Here is a 27,105-nt window from a genome sequence, read left to right as displayed (position 1 = left end):
TGATAATTTTATCAGCTGCTCCCATTTTCTCTGAATATATTTGCACAGGGCTTTCAGGAAAATTGTCTACTAGCTAACTCAAGACTTTCACTCAATTCTCCAAAATGAATAGGTCAGGGTGTGTCTGTTCCTTGACCTACCTTCTTTTCTTGGTCTGGGGGCCTGGGTCACTAAACTTGATGAGCTCTTTCTTGTGCTGCTACAGCCTTTTCATTTTGCCTATAGCAAGCAGGATGATTTTTAAAAAATTACATATGTGGTCTGCGTTATGTTTCGATCACAGATACTTTTATATAAAATAGGAAGCCCTTCCTTTTTCTCTTTCATAGCACCCTGTTTTTTCTCTTTATAGTATTTAACACCACCTATAATTATATTGTTTATCTTCGTATCTCCAACACTTAGGACCATGCCTGTCATAGAGGAGTTTTAAAATAATTAATTTTGGGCTGAACACATTAATTCAATCATTATTTCATTAACAAGTTGATCTCCCTACATTGACCCTTGCTCTCTTTAAATCCATTTGCAACCCTTCAGTCAGACTCACCTTTGAAAAATGTATAGCTGATTATGTGACTTATCCTGCCCAAAATCCTTCAATAGCTTTATGTTTGAACAAAGTCCAAATTTTTTAGTGTGACTGCTTTCCTCAAGATAGACTAAGTTGTGCAGTGGTAAAAAATTAACCCATAAATCTCAACAGTGATTTGTTTATTGATCATTATATATTACTGATATAGGCTGGGGAGAAAAAAGGGGGCTTGTTTCACACAGTCACTCAGGTGGCCAGGCAAATGGAGGCACCATCTTATAGCTCAACCATCTAGAGTATAGACACATTATATTTCAGAGACTTTGTTCTTCACAAATTGTTTCTCTACTAATAGCCTTTATCAAACCTAAGAGAACTAAATCCTAATGTAGTAAGGCAACTGTTGTATACAACACATTCATTTTTTTTCCTATGCATGTATAACGTTATTCATTATGAACTATCCTTAGGAGAATTAAAATGATAGTTACACAGATCATTTTCTGTGCTCTGTGGTTCAGTTGAGAAACATTGGTTGAGAAAGTCTGCAAATCTAGGAAACTTCCCGGCACATGATAGGTGGTGGATCTACATCTCTCTCTTTTTTTAAAAAATGAAGGAACCTATAAATGTTAGGTCTAGCAGGGATCTTGTAGATCATCTAATCTATTGGTTTCTCAACCCTGGCTATGCATTGAAATCACTTGAAGAACTTGTTAAAAATCACATTCTTAAGCTCCTCTTCTAGAGATTCTGGTTCAATACATCTGGCAGAAGGAACCAAGAATGTGCATTTTAAAATAATGCCTCCAGTGATTTTCATGCCGCCATTTAATTACTGCTTTCGGAGTATAGGCAGGCATTTGCATACCACCATTCTAGTTTAAACCACTCATTTTCACATTTGGAGTAGTTGTCTGCTAGATTCAGAACACAATTCAGAAAAAGAAATTAGTGTTTGTTTGTTGGGGAGGAGTTGGGGGGTAGGGGTCCAATGTCCAAGTCAGTTTCTTATAAGGCAATAGTCTTACCCTTGAGTTTTAAAAACAATTCCTGCTAGAATTAAATTGAGCCAGAAGAAGTCTAGATGCTTTCCAAGGTCTTCTTGAGGTCTAATATTCTGGGAAATTGGACTTTTAAGCCAGAGCTTCACTCCCAAATTAAGGAAAGCAATTGGAGCAACTGCTCTTAGGAATTATACCATCTTTTCCAAAAAGATGGGAGAAAGAGCAGGAATAAATCTAGCTGTGTTGGAAAACACTGTGCAATTATGTTTGTTTCCAATCTCAGATTAACCAAAAGTCCCGGAAAAATCACACAGAGACCCTTCAGGAGTCTACCAAGACAGTTTATTCCTATGCTCATCTACTCAACCTGAAAAAAATCAACTGTAAATCCAGGATTATATTCTGGGTTATATTCATTGGCCTAACACTGGTCTTTCCTTTTTTCCCCAGGATTATGTCTTTCAAAACATGCCAAGCCCAGAAACTTAGCTATGGTCTGAAGCTTCCTGGGATATTTGGCTGAATAATGGAGCATAGCCTGTTATTGTTTAGGGCCTGCACAGAGGGCTCAGAAAACATGCTGGGGTAGACAGGTGCCAGCTCAGTGGAGAGTTTAAGTGTTTGGCTCACTTTTCCAATCTCCGCTTCATTTCACCCGTCATTAGGAGAGAAGAGCTTTTCCTTGTTATTGGAAATAAAACAAGTTTTGAAACAGTTCCAATGTACAGTTCCTTACATGCGTCCCAGCAAGCCACAGCCTAGAAGACTTTGTGTGTTTGGTGCAATCATTTTTCTTCATGGTTTCCAGGACATGTGTATTAATATAATAAACTTACAAAGCACGATTTATATAGTTCATAGACCAACATTTCCCAAACTATATTCTGATATATTCCAGTCTTTCAAGATGCTCTGAGAAAATGAATTCCAGTGTGCAATAAATTTGGTAGAGCTGCATGTTTTAAATCTGATCTTGTTACTTTGCATATTATCCTTAATAAGGCACTGAGAAGCCCTGACGTGAGGAAACCTGTTTATCTCTGTTAAACTCATCAGGTTCTCATCACATAAACATAGTATCTTCCCTTAGAGGAATACCTTTTGATATATTGTGGATTGCTACTTGGAAAATGCTTTCAAAGACTAAATGACATTAGGAACCTCTGGAAATCATCCAATGCAACATGAAACTTGCATTCGGGGCTTATTTGTACTGTAGACATGAAACCATTTCTGTCATTCCCTAGGTCAGAAAGGAAAAACAAATATTTTATTTATTGAAAAGGCCAGTACAATTATACAGTAATGAGCAGTGATATTTCTGTAACACTTTCTTCTCAAGGAATTTCCTAAGCAACATGCAATAATTTTTCAAAAGGGTGTTGCATTAGAAATCCAAATACCTGCCTTCTGCACCAGCTCTGCCACTAACTAGCTGTGTGCCTTTATACCAGTTGATTAACTTCATGGGTATCAACTTGCTGATCCATAAAATAGGAACCACAATGCCTTTCTTATCCACTCCATAGGCTTCTTGTGAAATTCAAACAATGAAATATATCGGATAATTATTTCCTATTATTGTGAAAGGGCACAAATGACAGTGAGGCAGGGCTACTAAGGTGAGACCTAGGACCAGTAGAGAACTGGCATTGTAGCAGGGTCTGTGATGATTTGCATAAAGCACTGTGTTGTCATTGCTCTAGAAGGACTAGAAATAAAAAATAAGGCAACATCATTTTGGGCCCAAATTTTGCAAATCTCTTTCACCCCATCCCCGACCACCCCATTTCAACAGATCAAAAAAAACCATGATTTAAGGTAGCTGGAACATAGGTACTGGAAGCACTTGCATGTTGTCTCAGCTCTGACTTTCATCTTGCCCCACATCACCCCCCAACTTCTATCCCAGTAAACAGTGAACAGGTTCAGCGACTGTTGCAGGCACTCTGCCTTCCTCTCACCATCCTGCTCAAGTTAATATTCTTCATTTGCCTCCTTATTGACTTCCTCTATGATTCACACAGCACATCTAGGAGGCTACAGACCTAATAGGGACCTTCTATTTCCCCTTCCCATCCAAGTCCCTGTGATTCAAGTGAACACTTGGGAAAGAGGTCACAGGGAAAATTTCTGTCCCTCCAGGTAACTGGTAAATATAGATGTCTGGGCTGACTAGACCATGATACTGACTCAGGCTGTGAATTCCTTTGAGTTTGTTACTCAAAAGAATTGGATCTTAGTTGAAGCATCCTTCTCTATGTCCTTGATTCTGTTTCCATTATGCGTCCATGGTAAACAATAGGTAAAGGGCAAAAGGCTTTTATAGGATCTTGTTTCTAAAATAGTCCCCTTCCCTGCTGCCTTATAATGATCAGCACTGTAATCTCATATTTGCTGTCACTTGTATCCTCAAAATGTTAAAGGCCCACATCACTGTCACCCTTGCATGAGCACAGAGGCTGCTTTTTCTGTTTTATCAGTTATCCATTGATGTGGTTTGGCTGTGCCCCCACCCAAATCTCATCTTGAATTATAGCTCCCATAATTCCCACGTGTCACAGGAAGGACCCAGTGAGAGGTAATTGAATCATAGGGGTGGGTTTTTCCAACGCTATTCTCATGATAGTGAATAAGTCTCACGAGACCTGATGGTTTTATAAAGGGCAGCTCCTCTTCACATGCTCTCTTGCCTGCTGCCATGTAAGACGTAACTTTGCTCCTCCTTGCCTTCTGCCATGATTGTGAGGCCTCTTCAGCCATGTGGAACTGTGAGTCAATTAAACCTCTTTTATTTATAAATTACCCAGTCTCAGGTATATCTTTATTAGCAGCGTGACAACAGACTAATAGATCCATCGTGTGTAGCAAAATACCCTAAATGTTAGCAGCTTACAACATCACACATTTATCATTGCACAGTATCTGTGGGTCAGGAATCTGAAGGTGGCTTAGTTTGGTTCTCTGACCCATAGTCTCTCAAAAGTCTGCAAACGAGGTGATGGCCAGGGCCACAGGTACCTCCATGTTCTAGTGGGAGAGTGCTTTCAAGCTTACTCAGGGGTCGTTGGCAGGATTCAGATCTTGGGGGCGGTTGGACTAAAGGCCTTTGTTCTTCACTGGCTGTGGGCCAGAGCCAGAAGATGCTCTGTGTTCCTTGCTATGTGAGCCTCTCTGTAGAGCAGTTTGTAACATGGAAGATAGCTTCATCAATGTGAGCAAGCAGAAGAGAGCAAGAGAAAGTGTACAAAGACAATGGAAGTCAAAATCATTTATAACTGAATCTCAAAAGTAATATTCCTTCATTTTTGTTATGTTCTATTAGTTAGAAGCAAGTTACTAGATCCAGTCTACAAACTAAGGGAGTAGATTTAACAACAGAAGGGAATTACACAAGAATGCAAATCCTAGAAGACAGAGATCATTGCAAGGGGTGGGGAATCTTAGAAGGCTACATACCACACTGTCCTGTATTAGGCATGTGGAAAATTCTGGAATTTGGGCTCCTCTTCGCTCCACAGATTTGATCATCTGGGCTCTACTTCCCTGGCAGGATTCTTTAACCCTACTTTTGATCAGTTGTGCTCGAGCATGTCCTACTCCCTTTAATTTTCTTGCCATCTTTTAGTATGTCATCCCTGTGTGTCCTCTGACCATTCTTTGAAGTAAGCCAGAATCCTGTTACTGTTGTTTAACAATCAAGGGATATGGGATCTAAAATTTCCTCCATAGCTTCTAGTCCCTTTTTCTTGATTAAAGAGAAAACACAAACCATCAGTAATCTCACTGAAGAGTTTTATGTCACTCGTTCCAACTTCCCACACCAGAGGTACATACGCCTTCTATTCCTTAATCATAACAGACTTGCTGTTCCACTAGGCAATGAAAAACAATCCCCAAAGGATAATAGGGCTATTCTGTGTGAGAAGAGCCTAGTTTTTTATTTATTGAAGCCAAATTAAAACTGTTTCCACAGGAGAGGGATTATCTCCAGCAGTCTGCAGAGTTAGTTTTCTATTCACCATAAATCAGGCAAACAACAAATATTTATTAAGTCCCTATAGTAGGTCCAACACTATTCTAGGTGCTTGGAGTATCAAGAAGAGAAACAGAAGACACGTTGACTTCCATCAAAGACATGAGAGTCTGTTGTTCCCCCAAAGCACAGCTTATTTGGATTGAGACCAGAAACAAAACATTAATTTCAACAACATTCTGGAGACCTGTGGAGCTATGCCTTAAAGAATGGATAAGATTTCGTAGGCAGGGGGAATAAGGAGGGGAGAATAGCACAAATGTAAATGTGGAACTGAGAAAAGGTTGAGATGATAATTTCCTTTTCATTTTATTTGTCTTCATTAATCTCTTCTCATTTTAAAAAATCTTCTCGATGGCAGGTGACATAAGCAGTTTGAATTTTCCTGTAATTCTTGCTGATAGGGAAAGGCCACTTCCAGCTCAAACATTGGTCAAAGTTGCAGTCTGCCCATTTTTATGCTCTTTTGTCACCATTTCTTCTGTTCTATAATTGCTTTTTTTCTACTTTGGATTCAACTGCTGACACTTGGTCCAGATTTGAAAGTTGCCCCACACTTCCTCTTCTGTTGCCCATCTTTCTGTATTCTGCCACCGCTTCTATTTTATAAACATTTATAAAGTGCCCACTCTAAGCCAGGCCTTATGCTAAGTGCTGTGAGTAAATAATAGAGATGAAAAAGACATGGACCTTACCCTCAAGGATTTCACAGTTCAGAAGCGTATGGGGACAAATAAGATGACAAGAATAACTCCCACACAAGAAAAATTGGCCAGTACCATGGGGAATGCTAATGCACATCACTATGAGGAATATTCCTCATTTGGGTGTATGGTATTTGGTTTTTACCTATGCATTTTGTAGGCCTCAATTCTGCCATGTTTTGAAATAAAAAGTCTGTATGTTTGCATCTGTCTGTATGTGTGTGGTTTCCCTGTTTGGCTGTTGCATGGCCTCTATTCTGTCTTAACAGTGGCCAATTAATCTCTGGAATGCCTGGAATGTCACTTCCTAATGAGCTGATGCTGTAGACTGTGGTCCATTCTCCAGAGGGCTTTGGTCGTGCTGGGATGAGGGTGGGGGTGGGAGAGCAGTTAAGACAAAGATTTCCTTTTTGGCCAGGAAGCATCCCTTTGATGCCACACCTGGGACTAGTGGGCAGCACAATCAGTGGAAAACAGCAATTAAACCAAGCCATTGGCACCAGTGCTCTGTCAGGCCTTCCCATGAAAAGGCGTTCCTTTCATTTTTGCAGGACTGAGAATTGAAGTCTCATCAGAATGAGTTGTTTCTTAATCCAACAGAAAGTAGGCTACTTTGTGCTGACATTTGGGTCATAATGAAAATGTGATAAGACAGTAGGCACAAGGCAGAACCTGGCTGTGCTGGGCCGATAACAGCACTATGCAATAGATGGTATGTGGCTGTGGAAAATTTCATGCGCGTCCGTGTGAAGAGACCACCAAACAGGCTTTGTGTGAGCAACATGGCTGTTTATTTCACCTGGGTGCAGGCGGGCTGAGTCTGAAAAGAGAGTCAGTGAAGGGAGATAAGGGTGGGGCCATTTTATAGGATTTGGGTAGGTAAAGGAAAATTACAGTCAAAGGGGGTTTGTTCTCTGGCGGGCAGGAGTGGGGGTCGCAAGGTGCTCAGTGGGGGGTGTTTTTTGAGCCAGGATGAGCCAGGAAAAGGACTTTCACAAGGTAATGCCATCACTTAAGGCAAGGACTGGCCATTTACACTTCTTTTGTGGTGGAATGTCATCAGTTAAGGTGGGGCAGGGCATATTCACTTCTTTTGTGATTCTTCAGTTACTTCAGGCCATCTGGGCATATATGTGCAAGTCACAGGGGATGCCATGGCTTGGCTTGGGCTCAGAGGCCTGACATTCCTGCCTTCTTATATTAATAAGAAAAATAAAACAAAATAGTGTTGAAGTGTTGGGGCAGTGAAAATTTTTGGGGGGTGGTATGGAGAGAGAGAATGGGCGATGTTTCTCAGGGCTGCTTCAAGCGGGATTAGGGGCGGCGTGGGAACCTAGAGTGGGAGGGATTAAGCTGAAGGGAGGTCTTGTGGTAAGGGGTGATATTGTGGGGATGTTAGAAGAAACGTTTGTCGTATAGAATGATTGGTGATGGACTGGATACAGTTTTGGATGAATTGAGAAACTAAATGGAATAACAGAAGGAGAAAAACAGGTATAAAAAGCCTAAGAATTGGGACGACTCAGGATATCTGATTAGAGAGTGCCTAAGGAGATTCAGCATAGTCCTGCCAGCAAAGATTATTTATTTACTTCAAGAGTTAAGAGTGGCAGTTTGGGGATAGCACTAGGAGATATCAGCTGTGATGGCTTGGAAAAACACTGTAAACCAGCAGTGTAAACAAGAGCAGGGCATGTATGACTAGTTGAGAACTGTGAATAGGAGTATGACTAGACAGAAGATAGTAGGGATGACAAGTTTTTTGGGGCACAGTCTAAGTTGGTCTGGTGTCTGGAATGAGACTGGGGCCTAATAAAAAGGAGCGTCTATACAGGAGCTTAAATGGGCTGTACCCTGTAGCATTCTGAGGACAGGCCTGAATTCTGAGAAGGGAAAGTGGTAAAAGTATTGTCCAGTCCTTTTTGGTGGCTGAGCTTGGTGAGGTGTGTTTTTAAAAGACCTTTAGTCCATTCTACTTTTCTTGAAGACGGAGGACTGTAAGGGATATAAAGGTTTCACTGAATACTAACAGCCTGAAAAACTGCTTGGCTGATTTGACTAATAAAGGCTCAGCTGTTATCAGACGGTATTGAGGTTGGAAGGCTAAACTGAGGAATTATGTCTGACAGAACGGAAGAAATGACTATGGTGGCCTTCTCAGACCCTGTAGGAAAGGCCTCTACCTATCCAGTGAAAGTATCTACCTAGACTAAGAGGTATTTTAGTTTCCTGACTAGGGCATGTTGAGTAAAGCTAATTTGCCAGTCCTGGGTGGGGCAAATCCTCGAGCTTGATGTGTAGGGAAGGGAGGGAGCCTGAATAATCCCTGAGGAGTAGTAGAATAGCAGATGGAACACTGAGAAGTTATTTCCTTGAGGATAGATTTCCACGTGGAAAGGAAATGAGAGGTTCTAAGAGGCGGGCTAGTGGCTTGTACTATAGCATAACCTGCCTTTGCTGGTGTGTGGCGATTAGGCCTGGTGGAACCGCCATCAATAAATCAAGCGTGATCAGGGTGAGGAACAGGAAAGAAGGAAATTTGGGGAAATGGGGCGAATGTCAGTTGGATCAGAGAGATACAGTCATGGGGGTCAGGTGTGGTATCAGGAATAATGTGGGAGGCCGGATTGAAGTCTGGGCCAGGAACAACGGTAATTGTGGGAGACTCAACAGTGAGTGTAGCTGAAGGAGCCGGGAAGCAGAAAGTATATGCATCAGGTATGAGGAAGAAAATAGATTTTGGAAGTTATGAGAACTGTAGAGAGTGAGTTGAGCATAGTTTGTGATTTTGAGGGCCTCTAAAAGTATTAAAGCAGTGGCAGCCACTGCACACAGACATGAGGGCTAGGCTAAAACAGTAAGGTCAAGTTGTTTGGACAGAAAGGCTACAGGGTGTGGTCCTGGCTTTTGTGTAAGAATTCCAACCGCGCTAACCATGCCTAGGAAGGAAAGCAGTTGTTGTTTCGTAGAAGGTGCTGGGGTTTGAGAGATCAGTCGGACACGATTGGCAGGGAGAGCACGTGTGTTTTTATGAGAATTATACCGAGATAGGTAACAGATGAGGAAGAAATTTGGGCTTGATTGAAGTAATGGGGGCTGTCTGTGAAGCTTTGCGGCAGTACAGCCTAGGTAATTTGCTGAGCTTGATGGGTGTCAGGGTCAGTCCAAGTGAAAGCGAAGAGAGGCTGGGATGAAGGGTGCAAAGGAATAGTAAAGAAAGCACGTTTGAGATCTAGAACAGAATAATGGGTTGTAGAGGCAGGTATTGAGGATAGGAGAGTATATGGGTTTGGCACCATGGGGTGGATAGGCAAAACAATTTGGTTGATAAGGCACAGATCCTGAACTAACTTGTAAGGCTTGTCTGGTTTTAGGACAGGTAAAATGGGGGAATTGTAAGGAGAGTTTATAGGCTTTAAAAGGCCATGCTGTAGCAGGCGAGTGATAATAGGCTTTAATCTTTTTAAAGCGTGCTGCGGGATGGGATATTGACATTGAGTGGGGTAAGGGTGATTAGGTTTTAATGAGATGGTAAGGGGTGCATGATCGGTCGCCAAGGAGAGAGTAGAGGTATCTTATACTTGTGGGTTAAGGTGGGGGGGATACAAGAGGAGGACGCAAAGGAGGCTTTGGATTGGGAAGAAGGGCGGCAATGAGATTTAGCTGTAGTCCAGGAATAGTCAGGGAAGCAGATAATTTAGTTACAGTGTCAGCCTAATAAGGGAACTGGGCAGGTGGAGATAAGTAAAAAGGAGTGCTTAAAAGAGTATTGTCTAAGTTGGCACCAGAGTTGGGGAGTTTTAAGAGGTTTAGAAGCCTGGCCATCAATACCCACAACAGTTATGGAGACAAGGGAAACAGGCCCTTGAAAAGAAGGTAATGTGGAGTGGGTAGCCTCCGTATTGATTAAGAAGGGGATGGGCTTACCTTCCACTGGGAGAGTTACCGGAAGCTCGGCGTCCGTGATGGTCTAGGGGGCTTCCGAGGCGATCGGGCAGCGTCAGTCTTCAGCCGCTAAGCCGAGAAGATCTGGGAAGGAGTCAGAGAGCCTTGGGCCAGAGTTCCAGGGGCTCTGGGAGTGGCTGCCAGGTGAGTTGAACAGTCTGATTTTCAGTGGGGTCCCACACAGATGGGATGCAGCTTAGGAGGAATCCCGGGCTGCGGGCATTCCTTGGCCCTGTGGCCAGATTTCTGGCACGTGTAGCAAGCTCCTGTGGGAGGAGGTTCTGGAGGAACGTCTGGCCACTGTGGTTCAGGCATTTGGAAGTTCTTATGTGCTGGAGATGTGGCTGGGATTTGTCTCACAGTGGAGGCAAGGAATTGCAACTTTTTTCTATTATTGTACACCTTGAAGGTGAGGTTAATTAAATCCTGTTGTGGGGTTTGAGGGCCAGAAATTAATTTTTGGAGTTTTATTTAATGTCGGGAGCAGATTGGGTAATAAAATGTACTTTGAGAATAAGATGGCCTTTTGACCTTTTAGGGTCTAGGGCTGTAAAGTGTCTCAGGGTTGCTGCCAAAGAAGTCATGAACTGGGCTGGGTTTTTACATTTGATGAAAAAGAGACTAAACGCTATCTGATTTGGGATAAAGAAAAAGGAGCATTAACCTTGACTATGCCTTTAGCTCCAGCCACCTTTTTAAGAGTAAATTGCTGGGCAGGAGGGGGAGGGCTAGTCACCGAAGGAAACTGTAAGCCGGACCAGGTGTGAGGAGGGGAGGTGATAAAAAGATTATAGGGTGGAGGAGCAGAGGCTGAGGAAGAATTGGGACCTAGCTCGGCCTGGCGAGGAGCAGCCTGGGGAGGAAGGGAGAGGTCAGATGGGTCTGTAGAAAAGGAAGATTAGAAAGACTCAGCAACGCTTGGGGTTGGTACAGAGGGAATAGGCGGGAGGGAAAGAAAGAAGATTTGGGATGAGTTGCACTGGGCACAGAGACTAGGAAGGGACTGATGTGTAAAAGAATGCCTGGACGTCAGGCACCTCAGACCATTTGCCTATTTTATGACAAGAATTATTTAGAATCTTGCAGGATGGAAAAATTCAAAGTGCCATTTTCTGGCTATTTGGAACTACTGTCGAGTTTGTATTGGTGTCAAGCAGCATTGCAGAAGAAAATAAGGCATTTAGGTTTTAGGTCAGGTGTGAGTTGAAGAGGTTTTAAGTTTTTGAGAACACAGGCCAAGGGAGTAGAAGGAGGAATGGAGGGTGGAAAGTTGCCCATAGTGAAGGAAGCAAGCCTAGAGAAAAGAGAGAGTAGAGAAATGGAGGTAAGGGGTTCGGGGGTTCTTACCTTCCAGAAAAGTGGGAAAAGGGGTTGGGGCACAGAGATAAGAGGTTGGGGCATGGAAAAAAGGGATGGGGTGCAGAAATAAGGGGTTGGGGCATGGAAATAAGGGGTCGGGACATGGAAATAAGGGGTTGGGGCACAGAAATAAGGGATTGGGGCACAGAGATAAGAGGTTGGGGCATGGAAATAAGGGATTGGGGCACAGAGATATGAGGTTGGGGTACTTGCCCCTCCTCTAGAAAAGCGGGACTTGCTGCTAAGAGTGAAGGAGAAGGGGTTGAGGGGTACTTGCCTCTCCCCCAGAAAAGCAGAGAAGGGGTAGAGACAAGGAGAGAAGGGGTTGGGGTACTTGGCCCTTCCCCAGAAAAGCGGGACTTGCCGCTAAGAGTGAAGGAGAAGGGGTTGAGGGGTACTTTCCCCTCTCCCAGAAAAGCAGAGAAGGGGTAGAGACAAGGATAGCAGAGGTTGAGGTACTTGCCCCTTCCCCAGAAAAGCGGGACTTGCCGCTAAGGGTGAAGGACCAAGGCAGGCGTCCCTGCGTGGTCTGACACCCTTGAAATGTGGGTGTATAATCAGAGAGGCATCTCTGCAATGATTAAACACCAAGGGAAGGCTGCCTTCCCAGTCCGTGACCGGCGCCGGAGTTTTGGGTCCACGGATAAAACGTGTCTGCTTTGTCTCTCCCAGAAAAATGAAAGGAATTGAAATTAAGAGAAGGGAGAGATTGAAGAGTGGAAAGGAGAAAGTGGTTGAGGGACAGTGAGAGAGGTTGGAGAAGAGAGTAAGAAGAGGCTGCTTACTTGATTTAAAATTGGTGAGATGTTCCTTGGGCTTGTCGGTCTGAGGACCTGAGGTCATAGGTGGATCTTTCTCACAGAGCAAAGAACAGGAGTACAGGGGATTGATCTCCCAAGGGAGGTCCCCTGATCCGAGTCACGGCACCAAATTCCTGGGTTTCAGCACCAAATTTCATGCGCATCCATGTGAAGAGACCACCAAACAGGCTTTGTGTGAGCAACATGGCTGTTTATTTCACCTGGGTGCAGGCGGGCTGAGTCTGAAAAGAGAGTCAGTGAAGGGAGATAAGGGTGGGGCCGTTTTATAGGATTTGGGTAGGTAAAGGAAAATTACAGTCAAAGGGGGTTTGTTCTCTGGCGGGCAGGAGTGGGGGTCTCAAGATGCTTAGTGGGGGAGCTTTTTGAGCCAGGATGAGCCAGGAAAAGGACTTTCACAAGGTAATGTCATCACTTAAGGCAAGGACTGGCCATTTACACTTCTTTTTGTGGTGGAATGTCATCAGTTAAGGTGGGGCAGGGCATATTCACTTCTTTTGTGATTCTTCAGTTACTTCAGGCCATCTGGGCATATATGTGCAAGTCACAGGGGATGCGATGGCTTGGCTTGGGCTCAGAGGCCTGACAGAAAACAAGACCTGTAAATACAGCACACACTTGACATAAGGGCAGTAGGAGAACTTTCAGAATATATCTGTTAGGAAAATGGATCCACCTGTCTATCCAGTCTCCTCAAACTTGTAAGCATTACTGCACACTAGTGCCTGCTAAGTCCTTGGCAATCACCAGGATGAAAGGGAATGGACACAGAGCTGCAAGGGTTATTAAGTTGCTTGTCATTCTACAAATGGAGAGAAGAACCTGTGGTATGATAGGGGTAGAAAATGGCTGGCTAGGTAGTACTGAAGAAATCTACTATCTGCTGAGTCAGGATAGAGACAATAGGCACATTTTATAAGGACCAGATGTAGTTTCTGTTCTATTTGCAAGCTGTAACTGTGATAGTGGTCCTCAAAATGAAAAAAATCACTTACTCCAGAACCCTAATTTTATGATTCATTGGATGAGGCCCTGTAATATGTTTTTTTTTGGAGAAAGGTTCTTTTCTACCCATTGAGAACTACTGCTCTAGGAAAAATCCAGACCTTGGTTCTAATTTAAAGGGTCCTGGTTGGGTGACTTGAAGTTACTTACCTCCACCTCATTGTACAGCCCTGATTCCGTTTAGTTCTAGTGAACTAGGGACTTTGGTATTTCTCTTTGACCAAAGCCCCCTCTTCACACCCCTGTTTCAATAACTGCTTACTTCTCCAGTTTCCTTAACACAAATTATTGGAAAGGGAATTTGTCCAGAACTGAAGTTCTTCTAAAGGAGTGCTTCTCTAATTTCTGAGTACATCAGAATCAGGTGTATTCTGCCAGATCAAATACGGGACACCCAGTTAAATTTGAATTTCAGATAAACAACAAATAATTTTTCAGATTAAATAACAAATAATAGTATAAGTATGCCACTTGCAACATTTGGAACATATTTGTAATAAAATATGATTTGCTGTTCATCTGAACATAACATTCAATTGGACATTTTGTATTTTTATTTCTTAAATCTGACAACCCAACTTTGGCAGCTTATTAAAAATGCAGATTATTGTGTTCTACCCCCAGAATTTTAATTTTCATGTCTGGGGTAGGGATTTTTTAACATGTAAACATGTACATTGAGACAGGTAGCTAAAGTATACACATTATAAAACCCATTTTTAATACTAGAGACATGTTTGTGGCCCCTGTTCCATGGTACTTCTTGGGCCTAGAGTCCTTCCCTAGGATCATAGTTCTGTATTTGGCTCTGTTCCAATTCTGGATAGCCCAAGTTCCCAGTACTTGTCCGTCTATGCAAGGAAGCATATCAGTACAGGAAGGTGTTTCCCAAGGCCCATACCTCCGGAGAATAGAGGGAAATGGTGTAAATAATTTAAAATACTCTCAACTGATGATGATATAATAATAATAAAAATGATGTTAACAACTATGATTTATATAGCACTTACTGTGTGCCAGGTACTGTTTAAGTGTTTTTACATATGTTAACCCCTTTAATCCTCACAACCCAATAAAGTAGATACTATTATTATTCCCACTTTAAGTTTTTTTTTGTTTATCAAAATCCCCATTTAGCTAGGCAGTTTTATCTATTTATAGTCACCTTCAATCAAATTCTTGGAGAGCAGGGTCCAGTAATGGCCCTAAATCAAATGTGAAATGGGCATTTTGTTTTCCTTATCCCTCACACTCCCTATTGGACACCTGCCTCCAGCCCTCAATCATTTTTTTATATTCTCTAATTTCTTCCTCATGTCCCACAACCTAACTCAGCTCTCTGATTTCCCCAAGTATCACTGAAAACTCAAAAGGCACTTACTAATAAGGTCCTTCTTGTTCTCAAAACAACTCAACAATAGCTACCTTGCTGAGCAAAGGATTTGGCAAGTGTGTGTGTGTGTGTGTGTGCATGTGCGTGTGCGTGTGTGTGTGTGTGTGTTGGGATAAGGGTGAGATGTAGTATTTAAGTAAAACTTTCTAGGCAAATCTAGGCAGTTCCAGGGAAAATGGATGGCCCTTTATTACTGTTCAAATGAATTATATCTGACAGTTCTTGTAAATAGAACAAACAGGAGGCTTGTTTCCCAACTCAAAAAATGGAGGTAAAATTACCCCTAAGTTTGAGCCTAATGCTAATAAGCTGACTTATATGCATGTCTTCTCTGCTCCCTAGAAACAGTCCCTGACTCAAAGAAAATCTTCTACTTTAGCTGCAGATCTTGGAATAGAACACTTCCTGTCTTTGTCCTAATTAATACCTCAGTTCAGCTGAGTGTAATTGGCCTAGAATACAGAGCTATGTTCAGTGTCTCTTGGGTTGGTTGCACAATATGAGTTCAACTGAAGCTACAGAAGAACTTGTCAGCAGCAGGCTGAAAGCCTAAGAAATAAACCTATTCCTGAAGGATTGGGGAGCAGTAGAATGCTTTTGGAAGACACAAAACAATACAAGAAATACATTGGTGAAGCTAAGCAGGGTTATTGTGGCCTCTTTCCATAAGGAGTGTTGGAAATAATTCATTCATTTATTCATCTACTTATCATTCATCCATTTATTCAACAAATATTTAACGTGGGTCTACTATGTGTCGACCACTATTTAAGGAGCAAGTGATGTTAGTATGAAAAAGAAAAGGTTCTAGCTTTTATGAAGCTTACATTCTAGTGAGGAAAGATCTGGTGTAGAATCCAGTGATTTAGAGTCAGTAATATGGATCAGGACCATGGCTTATTGACGCATTGAAGTCACCACAAGCAATGAGCCTAGGGTCAATAGTGGCCTAAGGTCATTGTCTAAGGTCGAAACTAGAAGGCTGAGCTAAACATCCCCATTTGGACATCCTTCTCCCTTATTTCTTCTAAGTCAAAGCCTCCTTGTCGCTCAAGGTCTACCTTCTGTTGCATTCACTCCCTAAAGCCTTCTTCATGAAAACAGCCCACAATAAAATCTCCTTCTTTTGCTTTCTAAGTCTGCAGTCTTGCACTTAATTATGGAAGGTCTCATTTCCTAGTCATTTTTTTTTTTATCTGTGCCTAATATCTGTTCTTACCTTGCTGGTAGTGAGGTGGCTGTAGCTGATAAATTATACACAAAGTAAATCTGATTCTTTCCCATAGGGATCCAGGATCCCATAGGATCTGACTCTGTCAAATTTCCTGCAGATACTAGTTCATCCTGACCCTAGAATATGTCAGTGCCCATCTAAGGAGTCACAAAGACAATTCACTCTTACAAAGGGTCCAGAAACTCCTTAAAGCCAATTTTGTTTTTTTTTTTTTGTGTCTTAAGGGGAAGTGACAATCTATGTTGTCCAGGGGGGCTGGGGTATAGGTGTGTTGGTAATGCTTATCAGTCAGGGATCTTAGTTGTGAAGAACCAAAACACAAACTGACAGTTTAAGGATAAGGTAAATTATTAAAAATAAATTATTTGAGGCTCTTGAGAAGCTCACAGAATCTCTGAGAAAGCCAGAGTACCAAAGTTGGAGGCAGTGCAGTCAAAAATAACAATCAAAATCACAATGTAGAAATGGAGATACCACTGGCAATACTGCTGGACATGAAGACCACAGCTTGAATGGTAAAGAAGAGAAAGGCAGACCCTGTATTGAGGAAGCTTTCCTGGTGCTATCACTGAGGCCTTCGTGTTGCAAGGAACTGGTCTAGAACTCATAGCTAGGTCTTGGTGTTCTCTTGTTGAACATGGATAGTTTCTCAGACTATCACCTCAGATAGAGGTACTCTGTGAGGGTGACAGATCAATGCAAAAACATGAACATTGCCCAAAACCACAAAAATGACCACCTCCCCCCTAGCCAATATGAGTAATTGCTGCTTCTTTACAAACTGCAAGCTTAGCCTTGGGCTAGTCTTTGCCACTCCTAGGTGACATTTATTGTGAAACCAAATCATAGAATTATCCCCACTTCCTGACAGCATCCAATCTAGAGCAAAGCCCCACTTCCTTAAACCCTCACCCAAATCATCTAACACAAACCTCAATCTTGTAATAAGTCCCCTCTATCATTCTCCCTGAACTGTGCATTTGCCCTTGCAGCAATGAGGGATAAACCCAACTTGTTCAACTACCCAGATGTGTTCCTGGCAGTCTTTGGCTACAGGGCATTGACAACTGCCAATATCACTTATTGTGAGCACCAGATGCTACCACTAGAACCATTGTGACTGCTGCTTCTGCCAACTAAATGGGACTGACACTGCCATGGCCAGAATGGACTCCATACAGTTTCTGTTTCTCTGCATCACTAACTTCTAATTCAAGCTCTGAGTAAGCACATTGGGTTGAAGGAGAATGGATCACAAGCCTCAACTCTAGCAGCAGGGAGGCTTGAAAAGCAATTATCTGGTTTCTTTGAGGAGTCTGGGATTTTTAAGGTGAGGAATTCCCAAAACAGGGGAAGGGTGTTCAAAATAGCTGAGCAGTTCTAGATGACATTGTAAGTTCTCCACCCAGATCCCCAGGGATCCCAGTTACTGGTCTGATGTGCTCATCCTTCAGCTGTGGTGGGTGCTGTTGCTAAAGGCTCACACTTGTTACCTTCTTGGTAGGTTTATCCTTGGGTAAGTTGAGCCATATCACCTGAAGGTGCTCGAGAGTTATGTCTTTCTCCTAAGCCTGTCCATAGCTGATGAACTAATTAGGTTAGCAGTACAAAATTCCCAACCCTTTATCTCAAAATAGGACAGACTTTTCAGAGCATTTTTTACGTGGGATAAGATGAAGTTAACTGTGGGATAAGATTAAGACTAGATTTCATCTGAAATTACATCCTTGTTTAGCCCCGTCTCCTTTTTTATCCTGCTTCCCTAATTCTCTCACAGGATTCTCCTGAGAGTATTCTCCTAATACATCACTTATATCAGAATATCTCTTGGTAAAGATCTATACACTGAAAACTATAAAACCTTGATGAAAGAAATTAAGGAAGACACAAATAAGTGGAAAGATATCTCATTATGTGGATCGGAAAATTAATATTGTTAAAATGTCCATACTGCTCCAAATGATGTACAGATTCAATGCAATACCTATCAAAATTCCAATGACATTTTTCATGAAAGTAGAAAAAGAAATTCTGAAATTCATATGGAACCATAAAAGACCACAGCTGGAAGCATCACACTCTCTGACATCAAAATATACTACAAAGCTATTGTAACTAAAACAACATGGTATTTGCATAAACACAGTCACAGAGACCAATGGAACAGAAGGGAGAGTCCAGAAATAAATCCATACATTTATGGTCAATTGATTTTGATAAAGGTGTCAAGAGCACACAACTGGGAAAAGAGAATCTCTTCAATAAATGATGTTGGGAAAACTAGATATTCAAATACAGAATGAAATCAGACCCTAATCTCACACAATACACAAAAATCAACTCAAAATACATTAAAGACTTAAATGTAAGACTTGAAACTGTAAAACTACTAGGAGAAAACATGGCAGAAAACTCCACGACATTGGGCATGGCAATGATTTTGTTTGCATATGAACCCCAAAGCACAGGCAACAAAAGGAAAAATAAACAAATGGAATGACAGCAAACTGAAAAGCCCATGCACAGCCAAGGAACCAATCAGCAGAGCAAAGACAACATTCAGAATAGAAGAAAATATTTGTGAACTATACATCTGATAACAGGTTAATATTTGAAATGTAGAAGGAACTCAAGTAACTTGACAGTAAGAAAACAAAAATCCAATTTAAAAAATCAGCAAAGGATCTGAATAGACATTTCTCAAAAGAAGACATAAAAATGGCCAATAGGTATATAAAAATTACTCAGAATCACTAATCATTAGAGAAATGCAAACGAAGAACCACAAGGAGATATCACCTCACACTTGTTAGAGCAGCAGCTATTATTAAAAAAACAAAGAAGTTTTAGAGAGGGTGTAGTGAAAAACCTGTGCACACTGTTGGTGGGAATGTTAATTAGTATGGCCATTGTAGAAAACAGTGTGGAGGTTCCTTTTAAAATTAAAAATAGAACTACCTTATGACTCAGCAGTCCCACTGTGGGGTGGGTATGCATCCACGGGAAATAAAATCATTATCTTGAAGAGTTATTGGCACTTCTACATTCATTGCAACATTATTCACAATAGCTAAGATATGGAATATATGTAAGTGTCCATTAATGAATAAATGGATAAAGAAAATATGGTGCCTATACACAATGGGATACTATTCCACCTTTAAAAAGATGAAACTCCTGTCATTTGTGACAACATGGATGAACCTGGAAGACATTATGTAAGTGAAATAACCCAGGCACAGAAAGAAAAATGCCACACAATCTCACTTATATGTAGGACCTTAAAAAGTTGAATCCCTAGAAGTAGAGAATAGAATGGTAGTTACCAGGGGCTAGGGGCAGTGGTAACCCTGCTCCTGGGGGCTGGGGAAGATATTGGTCAAAGAATACAAAATTCCAGTTAGATAGGAGGAATAAGTTCAAGAGATCTACTGAACAACATGGTGACTGTAGTTAATAGCAATGTATTGTATTCTTGAAAGTTACTAGGAGAGTAGATTTTAAGTGTTTTCATTGCACACAAAAAAGCATGTTCGATAATACATATGTTAATTACCTTGATTTAGCCATTCCACAATGTATACATATTTTGAAACATGTTGTGTATGATAAATATATACAATATTTATTTGTCAATTAAACAAATTAATTTTTAAAACAGAATCTCTCCTGGAGAACCAATCCTAAGACAGTGGCCAAAAAGAATGTCTAATGTCCTCTTGATTTCACATTTTTGGCTGACTAGTAACAACGTATATCCTTTTTTCATACTTAAACTTCACAACAATAAGTGCCCCACATAACATAATGCAATTTTTCCTTATATAAGTGAAAACATGCAAAAGGGTGGCATCTCAAATTCTGACCAGTTACTATAGCTAGCTCTAAGTCCAGGATCTTTGGATGGCATATATTCATCTTCTGGTTCCATCACAATTTCATCTTGATAGTCTGTACACTAGAGACTATGTTATAAAGTTAATCACTATATGTAAAATAGTAGAATGGGAGGGTGCTATGATTTGGATATTTGTCCCTCCAAATCTTATGTTGAAATTTGATCCCCAATGTTGGAGGTGGGGCCTAATGGGAGGTGTTTGGGTCATGGGAGCAGACCCCTCATGAATAGATTAACGCCCTCTTTTAGAGGTGAGTTCTTACTCTATTAGCTTCTGTGGGAACCGGCTGTTAAAAAGAGCTTGGCATCTCTGCCCCACTCTTGCTTCCTTTCTTGCTATGTGATCTCTGCACACTCTGGCTCCCCTTCACTTTCTACCATGAGTAGAAGCAGCCCGAGACTCTCACCAGATGCCCAATCTTGAACTTTTCCAGGCATCAGAATTGTGAGCCAAATAAACCTTTTTTCTTTATAAATTACCCAGTCTCAGGTATTCCTTTATAGCAACACAAAACAGACTAAGAAGGAGAAAGGGATAAGTCACAGCAAGAACAAAACTCAGGCTGATGTTATAGTCTTCTTTTTGTAACTTTTCCTCTACTATTCAGTCCATGTTTTCTTGGCCCTCAATCAGCACCTAAGCTGATCAAAGTTCTTACCTTAGGTATGACCTAAACCTTCATTCCTAATGTATCACAGTCTTCAGTGGTCCTGCCTGCATGTGGTTGTTCAGATCTTCACTTTTAACTTTTACTACTGAAATGGCAGCAGAAAGAGGTGCCTGGAAGGATCCTCTGTGTCCAAAACATACTCTTCTCTACCTTCACTCCACAGCAGCAATCTCATGTGATACCATCCAGCCCTGAAACTCCCACTTTGGCTGTTGTTCTAATGGCATAAGCAGTCCAAAATAGACAGGTGGCTGTCTCATCTTCTGGATAATAGAGATGTTGTTGTCTATCCTAGAGGAGGCATATCCCCCTCAAGTACTGAAACCTAAACCATGGAATCATACACTTTTGTGAATTAGCTATTAGATGTAATATTGATAAAAGCCACTTCAACTTCCACCTGTTGGTTCCAAGAATACTGGTTATGACAGAAACAGCACTGTCTTTTGGCTGCTGATTCATATCATATGACATTTCCTGTAGAATAACACCTCCAGTTTTCCGAAGTTGGCTCCTAGAGACTCTTTAACTGAATTTGTAATAGGCTGTTGAACTGTTCTGCCAGAATATCTGTTCCTGGTTTATAAGGTCTGTGATACAATGACTATAAAATGGACATTAAGTAAGTCTATGGGTGGTAGTGCTGATAGAAACATTGCAGGCTGGGAAAGCAAATCCTCATCAGAGTAAGTAATATTTACATTGAGGACAGATGGCTTCCCCCTCCACAATGGAGGGCATTCACAGTAATCAACCTGCTACCTGGTGGCTATTTGGTCTCTGCAGAATGGGGCCCAACTAGGGGCTTAGCACGGACCTCTGCTGATAGCAGTTTGGGCATTCTCTAGGGACAATAGCTGTCAACTCAGCCTTTATGAAGGGGTGTCCATGTGGTTGATTCATTGCATAACCTCTGTCTCTGTCCCCGTGGACATGATTCATAAGCTCATTGAGTAAGCACTGTGGGGACTGTGAAAAGAGGCCAATGACATCCAAGATTAGGACTTTTCATTCACTTGATTATTGAGAGATTTCTCCAGAATGGTAGCCTTTTGTTGAGCTATGACCTGAAATATAACATTCTCATTAAATGGTATTATACAAATGCTAGTTCTGTAAATCTGACATGATGTTGAGGGTCAGGTATTACAAAACCAAACAATAAAAAAGCAAGCTCCAAACCAAGGTAAAAATGTGGTTCAGAGATCTATACTCAGCTTCATTGGAATGCCTAAAGTAGGAAGCATTTGAGTGATGATTAAAGATTAGCATGTAATTGACAAGGTTAGGCCCCAGAAGAGAGGAAAGTTTTCAGAGGTGGTTTGTTGACAAAGAGGTAGACAGATCATTGAATTTCAAATCTGAAAATCTGAATGTGATTCTCAGTTCTGTCATTATGAGCTATGTGAAGGTGGGCAAAGTGCTTAATCTCTCTTGGTTTGACCCTCCTTGTCTATAAACTAAGGTTAATAGTTTCCTCACTCACCTCATGGGGTTTTAAGATCCAAAATGTGATAATGTAGTGCCACACGAATTTAAAATAAATTCTTGCCATACAGAAAGAATTTTCATGAAATCTGTTTAACATGGAAGGGAAAGAAAAAGTATCAGGCCATATGCCATGAATTCCTTGGGCCATGGTCCAGGCCGATGGACAGGGTCCATAATTTCTAATTTCTTTTTCCCTTAGCTTTAGACCAAGGGGACAGTGGAGCTGGCAGAAGTGCCGTACTTTGGCAGAGTCCGTCTGAGAGAAGGCTTGCAGTCTATTTCTCTCTGTGCCCTTTGAGTTATTCTCAGTAATTGGAAAATTTAACATGTACTCACATGTTCTGTATTAATAACCCTCTTGATGGGTGACTCTGAAAACCATGGGAACAGATAATGAGGAAACCACAGAGAGTTTTTATTGGCACTAGAGCCAAATGAATTACTTTTTTTTAAAAAAATGATATTCTAAAACAACCACCTTTTTTTCTACCTCAAATATTGGAACAGATCTTCAACAGTACAGAGTGAAAGAGTGAGGAATAAATGATGAGTGTGGTTCCTTGAACTAATATAGATAATCAATTCAAATAACTAACAAAAATAGTCCACGTGGCTGTGTATATGTATGTGTAAATAACCCATCTCATGTGTGTAGCATCACCCTTCCTTCCCCCACAAAACCCACACTGCCATGCATTATGATGCAAATTTAATAGGTTGTTGGGGAAACAGAGGACTCCAGAGAAAGTGGAAACTAATGACCTTGTAGAAGAAGAGAGGCCTGATCCGAGCCTTTACAGAATGTATAGATTATGGATGAGAGTAAAGAGCAAAATTACTTTTGGTTAAAACTGCTGGGTTTGCTATTATGCTGGTAGCTATGTCATCTTCCTAGTTGTGCAATGCTACATTATACACAGCTACAAACTATGAGCAGAAAGCACTTGTTTTGACACTTTATTGAGTATCTGTGACATGCCTTTCTCAAGGTCTTGGTTCTCCAGCAGCTTAGAGTGAGAGCAGCAGGTGATACTGTCACATATCTCAGATAACAAAAGCCAAAGCAATAGGGGCTTTTGAGTTAAAGCCCTCTGTGTTTTAACTTCAGTATGTGCTTTCTGATCCTTTGCTCCTTCTTTCCAAAAGAAGTCATATAACTATTAAGAGGCAGAGCCAAGATCCACATCCAGGCTTCCAACCTTCAGATCCTGAATTTACATGACCCAATCTCTGCTTGCTGAGATTGGTGACATTGTATGGGTTGGCTATCTCCTCAATTTTGCAAACCTCCACCCAGGCTTAGCAAAAAACCTACAGGTTATTTTACCACAAGAGGTCATCCACTATTACTGACCTACCACAAACCTCATTCTTTTCCATTCCCTATACCTGAACCTTGAGGTGTTTCCATCATATTTTTAGACCTCTCCTGAGATTATGTTGCAGAGAACCAGCACCAATTACATCCAGCTAAGAGCCATTGAAGTATAGGTCTGCAAGTTTTGTGTGTAGAAGATAGGGTTCTCAATTACATTCTCTCTGCTCCTGTGTCCCGCATCCTAGAAAATCATGAAACTCATGAAGCAAGGCATAGAGCTCAGGGGGATTTGCCATTAGTTTTCAGAGATAGAAGCTTTAATATGGCTCTGTAGAGCAATGAGAGATGATGAGGATACTGCATGTTATTTTAACAGACACCAAGGGTTCTTTCTGACTGTCCTTTGCATTAGACTAGCATGCCATTTCAATACATAAGGATTTATTCAGCAAGCACCCCGGGCCCAGCAGTGTACTAAATGTTATGGGAGATTCAAAGTCCAATAATGGTTCCTACCCCTGGAGCTTTCAATCTAGTTGAGAAGACATGACACACATTTAACAGAAAAATATAAAACACTTTATAATTAAGTAAAATTGTACATGTAATCTCGTACTTTCCATCTCATTTGTGTACCATCACACATGATGGTATGAAAGATGCTGTGGAAAGTCAGGATGAAGAGGGACAAATAATAACACCTAGTGTTTACTGAGCACCAATATATGTGACACATATTTTCTAAGTTCTTAAAACTATTAACTCTTTTAATCCAACAATTTTATTGAGCATGATACTATTTTTATGTCATCTTAAAGATGAGAAGATTGAGATACACAACAGTCAGGAAATATGCCCAAAGTCACAAAGCCGGCAAGTGGCAACATCTGGATTTCAACCCATGACATGTGGCTCTACAATCTGTTACCTAGTGCTCTATTCTGCCTGCATTCTGGTGAATTAGTTGAGGTAGACTTTATAAATGGCATAGGACTGTCTTTAAGCTGTATGGTCTACACTATAACAAGGCTTGAAGGATGGTGTAGAAGAGATGGCAAATTTGGTCAAATGCTTTTTCAGTATCTATTGAAATAATCATGTGGTTTTTGTTCTTGGTTCTGTTATGTGATGTATTACACTTAACGATTTGCACATGTTGAACTATCCTTGTGATATGGTTAGGCTCTGGGTCTCCACCCAAATCTCACATTGAATTGTAATCCGAAGTGTTGGAGATGGGGCCTAGGGGGAGGTGACTGGACCATGGGAGTGGTTTCTAATGGTTTAGCACCATCCTCTTAGTGCTATCTCATGACAGAGTTCTCACGAGATCTGGTTGTTTAAAAGTTTGTAGCACCTTCCCCTTCACTCTCTCTCCTGCTCCACCATGTGAAGAGGTGCCTGCTTCCCCTTCACCTTCTGGTTGTAAGTTTCCTGAGTCCTCCTCAGCCATGCTTCCTGTACAGCCTGTGGAACTGTGAGTCAATTAAACCTCTTTTTTCATAAATTACCCAGTATCAGGTAGTTCTTTATAACAATGTGAGAACAGACTAATATGCCTTGCATCCCTGAGAGGAATCCCACATGATCATGGTGAATGATGTTTTTAGTGTGTTGTTGAATTCTGTTAGCCAGTATTTTGGGGAGGAGTTTTGCATCTATGTTAATCAGTGAAATTGGCTTGAGGTTTTCTTTTCTTGTTTTGTCCTTCTCTGGTTTTGCTACCAGGATAATTCTGGCTTTGTAGAATGATTTTGGAAGTATTCCCTATTTTTCAACTTCTTTGAAGAGTTTGAATAAAATTGGTACTTTTTTTCTTTAAATGTTTGGTAGAATTCAGCAGGGAAGCCATCAGTTCTGGGCTTTTCTTTGCTCGGATATTTTTTATTACAGCTTTGATCTCATTGCTTGTTATTCATCTGTTCAAGCTTTTATTTTCTTCATGGTTCAATCTTGGGAGGATATAGTGTCCAGGAATTTATTCACTGCCTATAGGTTTTCCAATTTGTTGGCATATAGTTGTTCATAACAGTCTCTAATGATTTTTTGTATTTCTGTGGTCTCAGTTGTTATGTCTCCTCTTTGTTTCTGGTATTATTTATTTGGTTTTCTCTGTTTTTTTCTTAGCCTAGCTAGAAGTTTGTTGATTTTATTTATCTTTTCAAAAAAGCAACTTTTTGTTTCACTGATATTTTGTATATTTTAGTCTCAGTTTCTTTTATTTCAGCTATGATCTTTATTATTTATTTTCTTCTAATAATTTGGCATTTGTTTTGTTTTTGCTTTTCCAGTTCCTTGAGGTACATTGTTGGGTTGCTTATTTGAAGTCTTTTTTTTCCTACTTTTTTGATGTAGACATTTATTGTTATAAACTTCTATCTTAGTATTTTTTATGTTGTATCTCATTGACTTTGGTATATTGTATTTGCATTTTCATTTGTTTCCAGAAATTTTAATATTTCCTTATTAATTTCTTCATTGACCCACTGGTCAACAGGAGCATTTTGTTTAATTTTCATGTATTTTTGATGTTTTGAAGTTCCTCTGGTTATTAATTTATATTTTTATTCCATTGTTGTCAGAAAACCTACTTAATATGATTTCCATTTTTGAATTTCTTCACACTTGTTCTGTAGGCTAAGCTACAGCTTATTCTGGAGGACGTTCCATGTTACAATGAAAAAAAAAAGTGTATTCTGCAACAGGTGTGTGATATGTTCTGTAAATGTCAGTTAGGCCTAATAGGTCTAGTGTGTAGTTTAACTCCATGGCTCTTTGTTAATTTTTTGTCTGAATGATATGTCTATTACTGAGAGTGGGCTGTTTAAGCCCTCTACTATTATTGTTTTCAGTCAATCTCTCCCTTTATAACTATTCATGTTTGCTTTATGTACTTAAGAGCTCTGGTCTTCAGTGCATAGATATTTATAATTGTTATGTCTTCTTGCTTAATTGACCTCTTTACCATTATTTAGTGACCTTTTTTCCTCTTCTTACAGTCTTTCATTTGTAGTCTATTTTATCTGATATAAGTACCACTACTCTCACTCTTTTTTGGTTTCCAGTTGCATGAACTATCTTTTCCTACCCCTTCACTTTCGGTCTTTGTATGTCTTTATAGGTGAAATGGCTTTCTTGTCAGCAATATAGAATTTGGTCTTTTTTTTCTTTTTTTTTTTTGGACAGAGTTTTGCTCTGTCTCCCAGGCTGGAGTGCAGTGGTGTGATCTCGGCTCACTGCAAGCTCTGCCTCCTGGGTTGATGCCATTCTCCTACCTCAGCCTCCTGAGAAGCTGGGACTACAGGCGCCCACCACCATGCCTGGCTAATTTTTGTATTTTTTAGTAGAGATGGGGTTTCATCATGCTAGCCAGGATGGTCTTGATCTCCTGACCTTGTGATCCACCCTCCTCGGCCTCCCAAAGTACTGGGATTACAGGCGTGAGCCACCATGTCCGGCCTGGAATTTGGTCTTATTTCTTTATCCATTCAGCCACTCTCTATTTTTAAATTAGAGAATTTATTCCATTTACATTCAGTGTTATTATTGATTGGAAACTACTACTGCCAGTTTGTTGCGTGTTTTCTGGTTGTCTTGTAACTCCTCTCTTCCTGTTTTCCCTGTTTTCCATTTCCCAAAACATACAGAGAAATGATTTTCTCTGGTACTATGTTTTAATTCGTTGCTTTTT

At 40.8% G+C, this 27,105-nt stretch overlaps 6 annotated features.

Moving 5' to 3' along the window:
* Positions 6,192-6,703: an enhancer, noted in NCBI's record as "OCT4-NANOG-H3K27ac-H3K4me1 hESC enhancer chrX:111779897-111780408 (GRCh37/hg19 assembly coordinates)". NCBI's record gives its function as "activates a minimal SCP1, AML or CMV promoter by ChIP-STARR-seq in primed H9 embryonic stem cells {active_cell/tissue: H9 hESC(primed)}" and the evidence as "EXISTENCE:reporter gene assay evidence [ECO:0000049][PMID:30033119]".
* Positions 6,704-7,215: an enhancer, noted in NCBI's record as "OCT4-NANOG-H3K27ac-H3K4me1 hESC enhancer chrX:111779385-111779896 (GRCh37/hg19 assembly coordinates)". NCBI's record gives its function as "activates a minimal SCP1, AML or CMV promoter by ChIP-STARR-seq in naive and primed H9 embryonic stem cells {active_cell/tissue: H9 hESC(naive and primed)}" and the evidence as "EXISTENCE:reporter gene assay evidence [ECO:0000049][PMID:30033119]".
* Positions 6,704-7,727: a biological region, named in NCBI's record as "OCT4-NANOG-H3K27ac-H3K4me1 hESC enhancers GRCh37_chrX:111778873-111779384 and GRCh37_chrX:111779385-111779896".
* Positions 7,157-7,451: a silencer, noted in NCBI's record as "tiled region #9286; K562 Repressive non-DNase unmatched - State 24:Quies". NCBI's record gives its function as "represses a minimal TATA promoter and a strong SV40 promoter by Sharpr-MPRA in K562 cells {active_cell/tissue: K562}" and the evidence as "EXISTENCE:reporter gene assay evidence [ECO:0000049][PMID:27701403]".
* Positions 7,216-7,727: an enhancer, noted in NCBI's record as "OCT4-NANOG-H3K27ac-H3K4me1 hESC enhancer chrX:111778873-111779384 (GRCh37/hg19 assembly coordinates)". NCBI's record gives its function as "activates a minimal SCP1, AML or CMV promoter by ChIP-STARR-seq in naive and primed H9 embryonic stem cells {active_cell/tissue: H9 hESC(naive and primed)}" and the evidence as "EXISTENCE:reporter gene assay evidence [ECO:0000049][PMID:30033119]".
* Positions 7,728-8,239: an enhancer, noted in NCBI's record as "NANOG-H3K27ac hESC enhancer chrX:111778361-111778872 (GRCh37/hg19 assembly coordinates)". NCBI's record gives its function as "activates a minimal SCP1, AML or CMV promoter by ChIP-STARR-seq in primed H9 embryonic stem cells {active_cell/tissue: H9 hESC(primed)}" and the evidence as "EXISTENCE:reporter gene assay evidence [ECO:0000049][PMID:30033119]".

This window comes from Homo sapiens, chromosome X, assembly GCF_000001405.40.
Source record: "Homo sapiens chromosome X, GRCh38.p14 Primary Assembly".
In the NCBI taxonomy this organism is placed as follows: Eukaryota; Metazoa; Chordata; class Mammalia; order Primates; family Hominidae; genus Homo; species Homo sapiens.
The sequence above is the reverse complement of the archived record's forward strand: the minus strand, read 5'-3'. Positions and strand labels throughout refer to the sequence as shown.